General features: G+C 52.1%; 1 protein-coding gene and 1 long non-coding RNA gene across 7 annotated transcripts in view, besides 3 other annotated features; one reads left to right on the top strand and one right to left on the bottom strand.

Moving 5' to 3' along the window:
* Positions 1-16,572, bottom strand: part of STEAP3 (STEAP3 metalloreductase) — a 41,819-nt gene that overhangs the window by 15,598 nt on the left and 9,649 nt on the right. For 4 of the 6 annotated variants that reach the window (NM_182915.3, XM_047444895.1, NM_138637.3 and 1 more), the window contains 2 exons: positions 4,067-4,566; positions 1,849-2,376 (listed from right to left, as the gene is read on the bottom strand). In NM_182915.3, coding sequence (NP_878919.2) covers positions 1,849-2,376; positions 4,067-4,566 — 1,028 coding nt within the window. Of the gene's footprint in view, positions 1-1,848; positions 2,377-4,066; positions 4,567-10,624; positions 10,693-16,572 lie in introns of all 6 variants that reach the window. The other 2 variants (XM_011511403.2, NM_018234.3) reach the window with 1 other exon arrangement.
* On the top strand, positions 984-5,633 carry STEAP3-AS1 (STEAP3 antisense RNA 1). Its single transcript, NR_046721.1, has 2 exons — positions 984-1,741; positions 3,174-5,633. It is a non-coding gene; the product is annotated as an STEAP3 antisense RNA 1 (long non-coding RNA).
* Positions 8,940-9,456: an enhancer, noted in NCBI's record as "H3K27ac-H3K4me1 hESC enhancer chr2:119998175-119998691 (GRCh37/hg19 assembly coordinates)". NCBI's record gives its function as "activates a minimal SCP1, AML or CMV promoter by ChIP-STARR-seq in naive H9 embryonic stem cells {active_cell/tissue: H9 hESC(naive)}" and the evidence as "EXISTENCE:reporter gene assay evidence [ECO:0000049][PMID:30033119]".
* Positions 9,457-9,973: an enhancer, noted in NCBI's record as "H3K27ac-H3K4me1 hESC enhancer chr2:119997658-119998174 (GRCh37/hg19 assembly coordinates)". NCBI's record gives its function as "activates a minimal SCP1, AML or CMV promoter by ChIP-STARR-seq in naive H9 embryonic stem cells {active_cell/tissue: H9 hESC(naive)}" and the evidence as "EXISTENCE:reporter gene assay evidence [ECO:0000049][PMID:30033119]".
* Positions 15,346-15,395: a silencer, noted in NCBI's record as "silent region_11901". NCBI's record gives its function as "represses an Ori minimal core promoter by ATAC-STARR-seq in GM12878 lymphoblastoid cells {active_cell/tissue: GM12878}" and the evidence as "EXISTENCE:reporter gene assay evidence [ECO:0000049][PMID:35858748]".

Raw genomic sequence — 16,572 nt, 5'->3', positions numbered from 1 at the left:
TTACTTGACCCCTCTGTGCCTCAGATTTCTCATCTATGAAATAAGGATATAATAGCACCTGGCCTACAGGGATGAGATGGGGTTAAATGAATTCACAGTGGTGTACGAAGCTCTTAGAATGGTTCCTGGAACACAGCGAGCTCTTGTTAAGGGTTCATGACTGATTTCTTCCCTTCCTCTCATTTCCATCAAGCATCTTGCTTTTCTGCCTGAAGTCTGGGGTTCTTCCTTTGTCTTAGGAAATTCTGAGCCCACAGATGCAATGATGCCGGTATCTGTGGGTGGCAAAGGACGAGGGCAGTCGAGTAGCTGCTGGCAGAGAAGCAGCAACCCTGACAGTGAGTAGGGGCTGAGGTCTGTGGTTCTCAGGAGGTGCCCAGCCCTGCTTCCCAGTCCTGCCAATCCCCCATGCTCGGAGGGGATGGCCCTGTGCTAGGTGTTTAGGGGAGGGCCCAGCCTCACCAAGGTCCCTGCATTCTGAGCAGGAGCAGGAGCTGCAGGGGCTGCCAGGCTGGAATGAGGGGTGGATGAGAAGTGTCTCACCAGCACCTGGGCTGAACCCTGTTGGGTGACTAGCGTCCTGGAGTGGGCAGGACCTATGCATCAACCAGCCCCGGGGCTGGGCACTGGAGGTGGAATTAATTTGGAGAAAATAAAGACAGTGTTGCTGAAGATGTGAGCTTGGGACTAAGAATCAAGCCCCATGAGCTTGTGGACCAGGAGGGAGCATCAGGGGCCTGTTTCTGTGGGCACAGGTGCCAGCTGATGCCTGGGTCCCCACCTGGTGTGGCCTGAAGGTCCTCCACTTCCCAGGAACCCTGCTGGCAACCAAGCCCCATATGAATTTTCTAAATGAATGATTAGTGCCACCCCCAGTAAAACAAACAAAGAACAACAACAACAACAACAAACCTAAACCTGGAATGCTCACTCCTGCAGCCTTCCCCATCTCAGCTGATGGCAACTCTCTCTTTCAGGTGCTCAGACCCAAACCCCAGAGTCATCCCTGATCACCCACAAAACCCTGGGGCCATTCCAGCGGCAATTCCATGCACTCCAGCTTCACATGTGCCTTCAGGATCTCCTTGCTCCTCCACTGCTCCCACTGCCTCCAGCCTCCACTGCCTCAAATCTGGGCATATGCACGGCTTCCTCGCTGGCCCCAGCAGCTAGCTGCCTTTGACCTCCTACAGTCTGTTCTCAGCCAAAAACCAGAGAGAACCACTTAAAATGTCAGGCCGATCAACACCTAAATTCAAACCTTCACCAGCTCCCTATTTCACTCGGAGCCTAAGGCTGAAGCTCTTCCTCTCAGGCCTCGCCTGCCACCCCCTCCTTGTTCAGCTTTAGCCACATGGGCCTCCTGGCTGCTCCTCCAACGTACCAGGCACACTTCTGCCCAAGGACTATGCCCCGTGGCCTGCAACATCACCCCAGCAGGCCACCGGCCCCTCTCCCCTCCTTCCAGCTCTGCTCACATAGCACTCACTCTGCAAGTCCTCCTGGACCATCTTCAAACCTGCACCCCCACCGCCCACGCTTGCTTTCCTTTGCGCCTTAGCACTCCTGATCCTCTCAACGCCCACTATGACTCACTGCTGTATTTTGTTTAAGTCTGCCCCAACTGGGCTGTACCCATGGGGGCAGGAATTTTCATCTGCTTTGTTCACTGATACTCAAAATCTTGGGCAGGAGGATGTGGGTGCTGCCCCATTGGAACAGAATCTGCAGTTGGCACCTGGTAAGGCTGCACCCGTGGGTATCGGCTGCACCTGGTTGGTGGGGGGGGGAGGTGCTGGACAAGCATGTGCTGAGTTGCCAGAGGGAGGAAGGGCATGGGGTGGGTACCTGCTTGACTGCCAGGTTGACCAGGTCGTAGCGGTGGGCGCGGCGCAGCGGCAAGCAGAAGCTGTAGAGGGCGTGCAGGGCGGCGCAGAAGAAGCTGAGCAGCCCGATCTGCTTGCGGTGCTGTAGCCAGTGGTCCAGCCAGTCGGGGAAGCGCTGGTACTTGGTGCCGCGCCGCAGCTGCAGGGCAGCCGCCAGCACGCCGGGCAAGTACACGAGTGACAGCAGCACGTAGGCCACGCACGGCAGTGTGGTGTTGACCACGGACACGGGCAGCTTGAAGAACTTGTTCTGGCTTTCCTGCACATAGGGCTGCAGAACGTCCCGGACGAAGTTGTAGGCATAGAAGCAGACGAAGAGCCCCAGGGCCAGCAGGGTGGGCACCTTCCAGGCCGGGAGGAGGCGCAGGGGCATGGCCTCCACCTCCCAGGCTGACGCCAGGGATCCCATGTCCACGGGCATGAAGCCCATGGCGAGCGCCATCTCCGAGACAGCACGCTTGGCTTCTGGCTGGTCACCGCAGATGGGCACCTGCGGGAGAAAAGTGGGGCAGTCAGACGGCGTCACAGGCCACAGGAGTGGGCAGGGCCTCACTGAGCAGCTGAGGAAACCGAGGGCCAGAGGGGCAGGGACTTGTTCAAGTGAGCTGCCAGTCAATGGTACAGGTGGGAGCCAATGGGGTTCTAGCTCCCAGGCTAGGGGTCTTTTCTCTGCTGCCCAGGCCTCCCAGCCTCTGGCCCACCTGCCAAGCCAGGCCAACTACTCAAGGAGGGAAGCTGCAAACAGTAAGCATCTTGCCCAGCTCGTGGACATCAGCAACCACAAGCAAAATGCTCATCCAGGTAGTCCCCATGGGCCCCCGACATGGCTGTCTCCAAGGCCGTGGCCTGCCCTGGGAGCCGCTCAGCAAAAGAGTTTTGCGTATGGTGCAGAATGGGCAGCTGTGGCTGCAGCTCCATCCCTCAGTTCAGAATCACCCCCCTTGATGATGTCCCTCGGCTCAGTAGAGCCCTCAGCCAGCACATAAGGCCTTCTACAAGCCAGCTCCAGCCTGCCCTCTCCGCCTTGAAGCCCGCTGCTCTGACCCACGAGGTCCCCCTGCAGGCACATTGCAGTCCTCAGATCCCCAAGCACCCCGTGGGCCTTGTTGACACTGCATTGGTCAGTTTAGTCTCCAAACACAGACTGAACACCTACTCTATGCTGAGCTTTACATATATGATCTCTCAGCCTTGCCATGAGCCCGCAGGTAGGTACTATAGTCTTCATTTTTCAGGTGAGAAAACTGAGGTCTAGGAGCATTGTTTCTTATCTCTGTGCCTTTTCAGATTGTTCCCTCAGACTGGAATGCACTCCCTGCTCCCTGAGCCTGACAGCATGAGGTGGGCCCAGGTCAAAGCCCTCCTCCAAGTCTTTTCCAGCCAGCTTGCTTGCTCCGTTCCCTCCAGGCCCTGCATCCAACACTCTCCACTGTTCCTCCTGGTCCATACCTGGGAGTCCCATGATGCAGCCTGCATTTAAGGTGCTGTAGTCAGGTATGGCTGGGCACCTTTAAACTGTCCTACAGAGCCTGGCACCTGGGCTCGACTCACTGGTGGAAGTTCTCACACATGGAGTCTGGCATTCTTTCGCCAAGAAAATGCATTAAAAACCAAGGTGGCATTAAAAACCACCTTGTCTTGGTAAGAGCTCCTCGTGGCAAGAAACGTATGCAGCTCTAGCTGTTCCGTGGAGCCATTATCTAGCCCCAGAAAAACCTGCTGTTGACTTTTCTGAGAAATCAGTTCTTGGAAGCCCTTAGAATAAATACGATAAAATTTGAGACATGCCTGCCTTCCTCAGGGCCGGGTACATAAGTGTGTTACTTTCCTCCTTCTGAGTCCAATTCTAAAAGCCAAGTCTCTCTCCTTCTTGGCTCCAAATAGCAAAAAGCCATCAACCTTTTCCTCCTTGCCCTCTAGGAAACCCTGTTACCATAGCAGAAAGAACATGGGTTTCAGATCCATAGGAACTGGGTTCAAATCCCAACTTACCAGCTATGGAATTTTCAGTAAGATCATTAATGTCTTTGAGCCACAATTTCCTGTTCTGTAAAATGGAATTTTGCAGTGATGCAGGATTAGTTATGATAACATATCAAAAAGAGCATGCTGGCAGCACTCGATGAAAATTAGCCATTTATATTTATTGTTACGATGGGTATTATTCCCCCAGAACCTACCTGCCTGTTACCATCCCTTGGGCCAGCCTGCAGGGTCCAGGCAGAGATGACATTGAAGGCCTTGACCACTGTGCAAGTGGGGAAGAGGGAGGCCAGGTACTCAGCATTGGACTCACGATGCTGAAGGTGCTCTTGCTCTGTAGGGTTGCTCACATCCACCAGGATCTTGCCCGCCAGCTGGTCACTGAGACTGCACAGTGAAGAGTAGTGCTCCCGGAACACAGCCACAAAGATGACCTCCGGGGAGCTCACTGCCTCCTCTTGGAAAGTCACTTGGGCCGCTGAGGGAAACAGCCTGGCTGTGCGTTTGGGGTTGCGGCTCCCCACCACCACTTTGAAGCCAGAGCCCACCAGGCGTGTGGCCAGGGAGCGGGCAAAGTCCCCGCTACCCAGGATGCCCACTTTGGGGGCCTCATCGGGGACCTTGGCAAGGCTACTATCGCTGTCCACCAGGTGGAGGCTGATCAGTGGCTTGTCCATCTCTTCTGGCATTTTGGTGGCTGCAAGAGAAGTCAGGAACCTGGTCAGTGGAGGGCTCCTGGACTGCCCCTTCTGCCACCTCCCTCCTCTTATACATCGTAACTACACGGCAGTCAGACATTCACCCAGCAGGTGTTCACCGAGTGCTACCACGTGTCAGCACCAGGGGAACAAGCTGAACACAACACAGCCCCTTCCCTGGGGAGAGCACAGACTCAGGAAGAGCAGGGATGACTTCTGCCCTCCACCCTTTGTCCCTCCTGCTGAATGATTTCCTCGGGAAAAACTGGCAGAGTGAGAGTGCTGGGAAAGGGAACTCTGGAATTTCCATGACCAATGTGATGCAGTGCCATACTTCTTTTCAAAAGGATTAGGCAATGGACAGTGTCACTAGCCAGGAGTGACCATCTAACCCCAACCTCACCATCGCTGGGTGTTTGATGACCAGGAAGGGTGAGCATGTCCCTATGCTTGTCTACATTTTGCATCTTGGAGCAGTTCTTCTTATGCTCTCCCTGAAGCATGGTGAACAGCTTGAGGGCAGGACCTCATCTCATCTGACCTTGGACCTCACTGTGTATCATAGCCTGGCACGGAGGCAGTGCTCAGTGTTTGCTGAATGAATGAATGAATGAACACCAAACCTTGATCTCTGAGGGCAGGACTGAGAGACAAGTGAATGGGCCCCTAAGATAGAGTGGGTGCCCTGTGATCTTCTTTGCTGAGCCCAAGATATGAGTGGATGTGGAGGAAACCCTGAACTCGGGCCATCGGTCTACAGTAAACTTGGATGGAAAAATTATTATATATTAATTGTCACCAACTTCTAACTAAAATTTGCTATTTCCTTTAAGTATGAAGGTAGGCAACATAATTTTTCATTAATACTGACCAAGATCATATCATAAATTTACCTGTAAATAATTTATCCTAATACCATTTAAATTGAGCACAAATTTAAAACCATGCTAGCCAGGTGCAGTGGCTCACACCTGTAATCTTAGCACTTCAGGAGGTCAAGGCAGGAGAATCGCTTGAGGTCAGGAGTTCAAGACCAGCCTGGGCCACACAGGGAGGTCCCATCTCTAAAAAAATAAAAAAAAAATTAGCCAGGCACAGTGGCACACGCCTGTCGTCCCAGCTACTCAGGACATTGAGGCAGGAGGATCGCTTGAGCCCAGGAGTTGAAGACTGAAGTGATCGCACCACTGAACTCCAGTTTGGGTGACAGAGCAAGACTATCTCAAAATAATAATAATAATAATAATAATAATAATAATAATAATAATAAAAGTAAAAATAAAATTATGGTAGACATTAGATCTGCCACTAGAGCTTGTCATTTAATGTGCTAATAAAGAAGCATGCCTAATGCTACTGTAGTCTTTTTTAAAAAATATTTTCGCTGTGTTTCCATATAATATATTTCATTTGTAACCCTAAGCTATTTTGTCTGGTGCATGTAAGAACATTATTCTGAGCAGAAGTCCACAAGCTTCACCAGCCTACAGTTCCACAGGGCTTAAGATCCCCTGCCCTGAAGCAGCAGAGCAGCTGGGGTGGCTTTCAACACCCTCCATGGGCGTCTGCCTCTTCCTACTTTTCCACAACACTCTCCTGGAACCTCTGGACACCTGACCAGGTGAGGGAGTGGATCCAGGGACTGACATAAAGATGGGGCAGGGGAACCAGGAGGCTGGGCCCGGCTCTGCTATGAAGCAGCTGTGTGTCTTCAGACAAGTCTGTGTGCCTCCCTGGGCCCCAGCTTCCATCTTTGTCAATGGAGATCACAATCTCTGCTCTCAGATGACAAATCATGCAATCTTAAGAGGTTTTTGAAACTGTGATTTTTCCTTTTATAAGGCAGCAGCAGCAGCAGCAGTTCCTATTAATGGATGCCTACCATACACCCATTGCTGCTGTCAGGCCTTTCCTCGGGTGATGGGCCTCTGGTCCTCACAAGAACCCCAGGAAGTAGATTCAGTTATCATTCCCACTTTACAGAGGAGGGAACTGAGGCTCAGGGAGGCTCAGGAACTTGTTTCAGGCAGCACAAATAATTGAGGGGAGGAAGAGCAGGAGGCAGGTCTGTCTGCCTCGGCAGTCAGAGCCTCACTCCGTCTTACTGCCCAGACAGAGAACAATGAGCTTTCCAGAGATGTCCCAGAGAGCTGCATAGCTGGGACCACACTGGCTGGGACAAGAGGCCAGGTGGGTGGAAGGGGGTGCATTCTCAATGTCAAGAGTCAGGGGACATGTGTTCCTGTCCTGCCTCTGCCAGCATGGGAAACTTCCTTAGCCTCTTGCTCATCTTTAACATGGTTTTGAAACATGGCCCTGCCTGTCACAGGATAACAGGGATTGGCTGAGCTGAGACTCTGAGGGGTTGCTTTTGTGGGGATCATGCTTTCCGAGTCCACAGATGGGGGTGGCACTCCTGCACAGACATGCAGGCACCCGCCAAGACACTCACGCCAGGCACAGCCACCCTGTGAATAGGAGACAGTATTTTCTGCCTGGTTCTGGGAGCGTTTCCTGGGTGGTGGGCTACATTTTGTAGGTGACAACGGGCCTCCTGACCCATCCTATAGTGAGTCCACGGCAGGCGGGTCTGCACCAGGTCCCTACTCAAGGCTGCTCGGTCCAGGAGCCGGGCTCTGGAGCCAGTCCGCCTGGATTCTGGTCCTGACTCTGCCTTATGTTAACTGTGTGACCATGGACCTATCTGTGCCTCAGTTTTCTCAGCTATAAAAGGGAGACCATGGCAGCACTTCCCTTATGGGCAGGTTGTAGGAGTAAATAAGTCAATTGTGTAAAGCACTTAGAACAGTGCTGAGCACATCATAAGCACCCAGCAAACGGCATTCAGTAATCACTAAGCAAACACTGGCTGCCAACAGAAATGAAGCTCCGTGCCAGCAGTAGGGCCCAGGTGGAGGGAGGGCAGAAGACCCTGCAGGCACCCCTTCAGCCCCGGGGAAGGAGGATGAAGAGCTGGGTGACAGTTATGTCAGCCCAGGAGCCTTGCAGATGGCCTCAGGGCTCGCAGGCCAGCATCTGCAATTTGGGCCGAGGTGAATTCAAATCCCTCTTCTCCTGTGGTCGGGAGGGCCAAGTCTCCCCTTGTGGTCAGTCAAGGCTGGGACAGATACACCCAGGCCTGTCCCCAACCACAGGGAGACACAAGCCCCCGGGGAGTTTTGCCCTGATGGGGAGGAAGAGTAGCCAGCCTGAGGCCCCCAGACCATCTTTCCAACATTTGCTGATGATTTGGATGATCCTAAGTAGGAACCCTCTGGACAGAAGCCTCTCCTCTGTCTCTGCCCTCTCCCCGCTGCCTGCCATCTCCTGAGTGACTTTGTGCTGAACACTCCTAAGCATATAAGGATGAGTGAGAAGCGGTCCCCACCCTGAGGGCTTACAATCTAGTGTGGGTTGGGGGAAAGGGGGCTTGAATAAGACCCATCGCCAATGACTGGACATAGGGCAGCTAGAGACAGAGCTCAGGAATGGCACAGGTATGGCCCAGGCTCTTGCCCAGGGGGCAGCCGAAGGGGAAGCCAGGACGGCTTCACGCAGACATGCATCTGAGGATCCCTGAAAAACCTCGAATGATTTACCTCGAAACAAAACTGAACCAGCCCAAAGTGAAGCAAGGCGAGAAGATCCAGATTTTGAGTCCTATTTTTGTTGAACCCCAGACCTAATCACAGGTGGGAAGGGATTGCCAGGGCTGGGCCTTGAGGGTGTTGCTCAGAACCTGACTTGGCATCTGCTCCCTTCCAGGGAGCTGATATGGAGGCCGCTGCAGCCGAGGGGAGCTGGTCCCACGTCTGCCCCTAACTGGCGCTGGGACATAGGAGGTCCCTGGGCCTCTCTGGGTGGCTTCTCTAACAGGAGCTGCTGCACCAGCTCAGCTCCAAGCCCCTTTCATCCCCAGCAGTCTAGGGTGCTATGAAAAGTCCTAGACTTATGGTCCTAAGGGTCCCTGCTTTTCAGCGGTAGGATAAATGCAAACTAAACGTTAAGCACCTCCAAAGCTTCTCTTGCCACCAAAATGCAGTCTGCAACAGGAAAATGCCAGGTTGTAATGCTGCCTTGTACTGCTCCCTAGGCGGCCTCTTCCTTGACCTTTCTGATGTAGGGACGGAGCCACTTGGCTGGGAGGGGTCAGGCAGGTGGTTAAAGGCACGGGCTGTGGGTGGGGCTGCTGGGGAGAAATCATGGCCTCACATGCCAGTAGCTGGGTGCCTTTGGGTGAGTTACATAGCTCCTCTGTGCCTTAGTTCCCTCACCTTTAAAACGGGAACACTAATTATACCTCTCTAAAGACTGTTTGAGGATGAAATGAGTTAATATGTGTAAAAGCTCAGAGCTCATTTCTGACTGGTTGTGTGTGCACTTGTGTTTCCTAATCTTGTATGCATGTGTGTGTGTGTGTGCACGTGTCCTATTCTTGTGTGCATGTGTGTTGTGTGTACTCTTCTCTAACTTCTTCATGGACAGTGGCCACGTTCAATTCTTCTGCCCCCTCCTGATGCTCAGCATGAACCCTCCTGCTGAAGGCTGGCAGGGGTTGGGGGCAGGACAGGTGGTACATGTCTTGGAAGTCCCAGAGGCCTGTCCCTGCGGCCTGAGGTGAGGGTGTGACTAACCCTGTCTGGGCCCTGGCTCCCTGGGGGTTCTATTTATAGAACTGGAGAGGGAGCAGATGGGATCAGATTGCAGCTCTGTGGGCCGAGGCCTGTCTCCTGCCTGCAGACCTGCCTGCCTCTCCTCCCAAGCTGTGGACAGAACTGCCATGGAGGATCGGGTGTCCTGGTCCCCTCTGGGTCTCTGCCCAGGCTTGTCTGTCCCCTCCTTCTTCCCGGCAGGGCTACAGCCTGTGTTTATGGCTGGGAGCCACGCCTGGCCCATGGGCCTGCCTGCCAGCTCCTGTCTGCTCTTGCGCAGGCCACTAACAGTTGGCCACATGACATCCACAGCCCCATGGCCTCTTCTTCATGGACACCGATCACCTTTCAGACATGAGTGGCCAGGGCAGGCTGTGGCCACGGAGGGTTTGCTGTGAGGTCGGTATGGATTGAGGTGCTGGGGCCACTGGCAATCAGAGGCTGGCTGTGGCACCCTGCAGCCAGATGGAGTGGGGGCGGCCTGCAGGCCAAGAACGGGGTGCCTCGCACGCCTCCCATGTGGGGACTGACTGAGCAAAGAGAGAGAAAATAACCCAGTTCTTGTCCTCAAGCAGCCCACAGTTATCTTCAATTTTTTTAAATTTTTGTTTATTTATTAGTTATTTATTTATTGAGACGGAGTCTCGCTGTGTCGCCAGCCTGGAGTGCAGTGGCGCGATCTCGACTCACTGCAACCTCTGCCTCCCAGGTTCAAGCAATTCTCTTGTCTCAGACTTCTGAGTCTGAGTAGCTGGGACTACAGGCGCATGCTATCACGTCCAGCTACTTATTTTCAATTAAAAAAAATTTTTTTTGTCTGGTCAGTAAAATTACATTTAGGGGCACATGTTCCTATTACTGCTCTATTTCTTTATAAGTAAAATACATTCAAAATGTACACTTATGCAGCAGTGCCCTATAACGTTGTATGTGGTATAAGTAATATGTAAACAAATGTAGGTGCAAGGAGGCTCTGTATGTCCTCCCTAATCCCAGGGAATGAGCCTTAAGAAGCCCCAAGGAAGTGCACACACACCCTGGAGACCTTTGCCCCATGGGAGGGCCAGGCAGTGGACTAAAGTGTTTAAGGTCTCCTGACAAGGGTACTGACTTCGGACAGCGGGGACTGGGAGGATTCCTGCAGGAGGTGGGCCTGAGCCGAACTTTGACGAATTGAGAGTGAGCCCAAGAAAAGCGCTTCAGAAAGAGGGGCCTGCATTGAGCAAACGGGGCCCAAGATAGCCCAGAGTGCAAGGACCCATCAACAGTGCATGTCCCTGGGTGAACGAGTATGTGCCCACAGCCAGCACCAGGGCTCAGCAAGCCACAAGTGAAAACATAAATTCTTGCACACAGCCTGGCCAACATGGTGATACCCCATCTCTACTAAAAATACAAAAATTACCTGGGTGTGTTGGCACGTGCCTGTAATCCCAGCTACTCCGGAGGCTGAAGCAGGAGAATCGCTTGAACCTGGGAGGCGGAGGTTGCAGTGAGCCGAGATCGCGCCACTGCACTCCAGCCTGGGCGACAGAGTGAGACTCCGTCTCAAACAAACAAACAAAAACAAAAAAATTCTCGCACAGAACTCTTTTCTAGACTGAAAACGTGTAGAGAGGGAAAGAGGAAGGACCTGGATCTGGGGTCTACTCTGAGTATCTTCTCACTGGGAGGTACTGGACACGCCAGTCCTTTCTCTAACCTGTTTCATCAAGTGTAAAATGAAAATACCGATTTTCCCTCAAGGGCATGAAGTAGCCAAGGGCCATATACACCTGGGGCATTGCGCTGTGGCTGGGATGTTTCTGGGAGTTCTTCCCCTGTGGTCTTTTTCTCATGTGCTCGTTGTCCACCCCCCGCCCCCACTTCCCTGAGCTTTGGGAGGGCAAGATTGCTGTGTGTTGTTCCACATGCACCCAGAACCCCACACCATGCCTGGCACACTGTAGAGGTTCTGTGCATCTCTCTGCCTGACTGCACACACCACTGGAGCCTATGTAGCCTCTGGGGGCAGAAATCCTTCCAAAATGCAGTACAAAATCAGATCCTCATCCAGCACCCCAGGGATCACCCCAACCTGCCTGGGGTCCATCTTCAGTTTTCACAGAGCCTTTGTGTAAGCTCTGCCTCTTCTCTCATCCTCAGGACTTTGTGGGCGCTGTCTGTCTGCCTGCTCACCTCTTAAAGCCCCCCAGGTCCTGCTAATTCGCTGCTGACGAAATCGAAAGAGCACAGCATCGAGAAAGTGCAAAGCCAACTCAGAATGGAGAAAAGTTCAGGAAATCATATAACTGATAAGGGGACCTGTTTCTAAATATCTGAAGAACTCTTACACCTCGGTATTAAAAAGACAAACAACCTACATAAAGTGGGCAAAAGACTGGAAAAGACACTTCTCCAAAAAAGATATACAAATGCACATGAAAAGATGTTCAGCATCATTAGCCCTCAGGGAAATGCAAATGAAAACCACAATGAGATACCACTTCACACCCACTAGGATGGCTACAATGATATATTTTTTTAAAAGACAGGGAGGATGTGGAGAAATCAGAACCCTCCTACACTGCTGCTGGGATTGTAAAATGGTGCAGGCACCGTGGAGAACAGCCTGGGAATTCTTCAAAACGTTAAACAGTTTCTATATGACCCAGCAACTCCACTCCTAGCTATATATCCAAGAGAAGGAAGAATGTATATCCACACAAAAACATTTTCACCCATTATTCATAATACCCAAAAAGTGGAAACAATTCAAACGTCCATCAACTGAGGAATGGTTAAACAAAATGTGGCCTATCCATCCGGTGGATTAATATTCAGCCATAAAGAGAACTAAGTATGCATCCAACAGGGGTGAACCTTGAAAGCATTAAGGGAAAGAAGCCAATTACAAAAGGCCAGACATTACATAATTACACTTATATAAATGTCTAGAATAAACAAATCAATAGAGACAGAAAGTAGATTAGTGGTGGCCAGAATGGGGGATTTGGAGAAAATGGGGAGTGATCCTCACGGGTACACCATGCAACTCACCATTTGAATGGGTGAATTGCGTGGTGATGTGAGGCATAGCTCAGTAAGGTTATTTAAAAAGTTGTTACCTAAAATAAAAAAGGAAATTGAGGTATGGCAGACTGCTACTAGTGTGTGTAAACCAAGAGTAAACATGTTTTGGATGACAGCTTAAGCGCGCTCCATGAGCCTATGTCATTGGATGGATTTTGTAACACCAATGTTGGTGGCTGCTGTGGTTTGGAGGTTTGTCCCCCAAAAACCTCATGTTGAATTCTGATCTCCAATACTGGAGGTGCACCTAATAAGAGGTGTTTGGGTCATGGGGGTGGATTCCCTCCCTGGCTGGGGGGAGGGCAGAGGAGCAAGTAAGTTCCCTGTTAGTTCTCACTGTATTAGTTTCCTCGAGAGCAGCTTGTTAAAAAGAGCCTGCCACCTCCCTACCCTCTCTCTCTCTCTTACTTCCTCTCTCCCCAGGTGATCTCTGCACACATGGTGCACATGAAGAAATGGGGCTCAGGAAGGTGAAGTGACTTGCCCAGGCCACCAGCTAGCAAGTGGTCAGGTGGGATATGAATCCACTCCTCTGCTGGGCCCTTGCTGGCTGACCTTGCAGGTTACTAAGGTGACTGATCCTGAATAAATCCAGAGCATTCAAATGTTTGTCTTCCTTTTGAAAAACACCTTTTCTCTTTACAAATTCCCCAGCTTCAGGTATTCCTTTATAGCAACACAAAGACCACACTAGCACAGTGGCTCTGCAACCTTCTGAAGTTATGTCCTATTTGTTTTCCACATAATTGAGGTTCCTAAGCCCCGTGACCTCTGGACAAGTGAGGCTTATATAATCAGTACCATTACCTGTTGTTGTTGTAAAAATGGTGCCTTGGGCTAAACTGTTCTCTTGGCCTTTGCTCACACAGCTATTTCTCTGCCATCCATGCAAGCCATTCCAGGGCCCAGGGGATGATGTGTGTGTGCCAAGTGCTGGGGTCTGAGGTCCACCCCACCAGCTCCCAGGTCAGTGAACAGGGCAGATGTGTTCCAGGGGGAGTGGGGGAGGCACCGTCTGCTGCTCACCCACATGGCTGAGGGTTTATAGAAGGATGTGCAGGTGGAAACATGCACACAGCTGCAGATCTGCTAAGTGGGGCATTAGGTCCCTCTTCCTCCTAAAGTCATCCCTTCCCTAACCAGGCAGAGGATCATTTCAGCCCCTGGGATTCTCTAAATAACACAGCTGAAGCCACAATTGGTCACTGAGAGCTTCCCTAGCCAGGCCAGGCCACTCCCCACAATGCAGCCAACAGGACACGGGCTCAGCAAAACGTTAGAACACTCTGGATTTATTCAGGATCAGTCACCTTAGTAAACTGCAAGGTCAGCCAGCAAGGGCCCAGCAGAGGGATGGAATTTCATATCCCACCAGACCACTTGCTAGCTGGCGGCCCGGCCAAGTCACTTCACCTTCCTGAGCCCCATTTCCTCATCTGCACTATGGGCTGATGTTCCTCACCTTAATGAGGTGTGGCAAGGATTATATGAGACAAATAAAGTGCTACGCTCTGAGCCTGTTAAATTTACTCATTTTTAATTCTATTCCTCTCTAGGATATTTTGTAAATCTTTTTGTCTGGGTAAAGCAGAAATAGATGCACCCAAATCAATACACGGTGTTCTCTGCCTAATGGAAAAATTTACTTTAAAATCTTCTAAAAATGTGCTCTAAGATAATGGCCTGGAGGTACATGCCCATTTCTCCCCAAGACAATCGGAGGAAAAGACCTGCTACTATTTGGGACTTGGGAGTGGGAAGAAGAAGGGGGAAGAGCAGAGCAGAAGATCTGGGGTGGAGGGAAGAGTAGGAGGACCTGCTGCTCAGGGCCACAGCCCTGGTGGCTGGGCACTGGGGCACTGGGGTCGGCACTGGGCTCCTTGAGCCCTCTAGGGGATGCTGGTCCCAACATCTGGTTCCCTGCCGAGGACAGTCATGCCACTGGGGTCTCCAGGCCACTTACCCTTGCAAGGATCAAGCCTATACCAACTGCTCCTCTGCCTCCATGGCCCTCCAGAGCAATACGTCTCACTGGACAGTACTGTTTTCTTTCCTGTCTATCTTCTCCCCCACTCCAAGCTCCTCAAGGTGAGAACTAAGTAAAACTCACTTTTGCAAACCCCAGCACTTAGGACACATCAGGTCAAACTTGAGCTGCATCAGGGTCACCTGGAGGACTGATGAAAACATATTGCTGGGCTCCACATCCAGAATTGCTGGTGCTGCTGGTGTGGGGACCACACTTTGAAAACCACTGCAGTAGCTGCTCAGGAAAGGGCTGTGGACGGAGTCAATGAACTAACCACTCACTTGCATGCAAGAGCAACTCAGTTTTGACTTTTTTTTTCCCTGGGTCTTTACAGTTGGCCCAGCTCCCAGCCCACTTGGTCCAGAAAGTCCTCCCTGCTCACGGGGGCTTCGAGTATCCATGCTGTCTCTGAGCTCCTCTAGATCTTGAGGGTCACATGCATATGCTCTGTCCCTACGTACCCCTTGGCTGCCCAGAGCTGGGTCTCTCAGGTGAGAAGAAGGCAATCAGAGTCATTGTGGCATTGTTAGCTGAGTCAATAAAACAAACCCCATGGGGACCACTCCCTGGCTACATGTGGGTCATTAGGCCCACTGCAGGCTGGGGAGAGGAGCAGTTCTAGGGGACCATGAAGATCTTGGGGATCCAGGAGCCCCCTAACACCCTGACTGGGAGGATATTCCCAGAGGACAGAGTTTCCTGGCTGAGCAAGAATCCAGATGGCCTGCCTGCCATCCAGGAATCTCTCACTAGCATGCTTTGACAGCCCAGTCTGGGAGAACTGCTCACTGGGACAGTTCATTACTACCCATCGCCAGCGTATGGGAAGGATGATGGTCAGTGCTGGTTGGGAAGGGGAAGAGGAAAGCCCAACAGTCAGCACCAAGGCCAGGGGCTTGAAGCAGCGGAGGCGGGTGGGGCATGCTCAAGCCCTAGGGTCCCTATGCTGCACAACTTTAGGAGGTGCCATTTACATAGTAATCCCTGTGGAGAGTGCCCTCTGGAGGCGTGCAGTGCACAGTCTGTGCAGTTCTATGCAATAGTCCATCCTGCCAAACCTCCTCTGACAAATTCTCTTATTTGTTATTCCCAGAGTACCTGCTGTGTACCCAGCATGAAGCAAGGCGCCGGGGCCATGCAGGTGGCCAAAGATGACCTGCCCTTTTAAGGCTCTTAGGAGAAAGGCCAGCTACACAATGCAGGAAGAAGCAAAGTGCTGGAATGAGGGGATGACCGGGCGCTATGGAGCCAGGGAGGAGGGCTTTAGTTTGCCCAGGGAGGCCAGGGAGCTGGCTTGTGGGGGCAGCCAGCTCCCTATGGGCCAGTTAATCCAGCCAGGTTGGAGGCCATCAGGCAGTGGCAGCTGAATCTGCAGCCTCAGCGTCTGGAGCTGGGTGGTTTCTTGCTTTCCAGGGAGACCTGGAGCTGCACAAACCCTGGGACTGGTGGGTCTTGTGGGCTGTGGCTGCCCCCACCCCTCCCCTTGTTATGGCACAGGATTTGCTGAATCAGGGATGGGCCTCATCCCTGCTCCTGGGCAGGGTGAGCCGTGGGGTTAGGAAAGGGCAGAGTTAGCCAAGACACACAGAGGCAGCTCAGCATGTCTGCCATGGAGCTCGGCCTGCCTCACATCACCTGATTTTTGGGCTTAGGGATGCATGCCTTATCCTGGTTTGCCCAGCTGCTGCACTGCCTTTTTCTGGAAGCCTCGGAGGGGCCCTCCCCTGCCCCTCAGTGGCCTCTTTCTTTGGATTCCCAGGGATACTGGAAATCGGCCTCCACCCTCTAACCGCTCTGCATGGGAAGAGTCATGTAGCCACTTCTCAACCACCTGCCATGGGCCAGCTCCAACTTTTGCAAGAGCTCTGACTTTTGCAACAGCTTTGATGTTCGCCAGGGTCCCAAGAGCTCAAAAGTCTGGTCCAGGCAGCCCGGGGAGCAGCTCCTGGCCTCCACCTGGGCCTAGGACAGGGAGGACTTCACGCTCTGGGACTAACTCTGCACTTTTTGTCACATTAACATTGGCTGCACACACTGGTTCTCTTGTCTGTCACCTCATTGGATGGGGGCCAATAAAAAACTCATTTCTGTGCCTCTAACACCTACCGGGGCCTAGCACACAGTAAGTGCTCAATACATTTTTGTGGTTTGAATGATTTAAGGACTAGATTCTAAGGGGAGTATTTGTGAGTTGGGAGGGGAGTATTTGTGAGTCATAGCTGTTCTCCCCAGAACCTAGCTGGGGCTCTCTT

Source organism: Homo sapiens, chromosome 2 (assembly GCF_000001405.40).
Source record: "Homo sapiens chromosome 2, GRCh38.p14 Primary Assembly".
Classification (NCBI taxonomy): domain Eukaryota; kingdom Metazoa; phylum Chordata; class Mammalia; order Primates; family Hominidae; genus Homo; species Homo sapiens.
The sequence above is the reverse complement of the archived record's forward strand: the minus strand, read 5'-3'. Positions and strand labels throughout refer to the sequence as shown.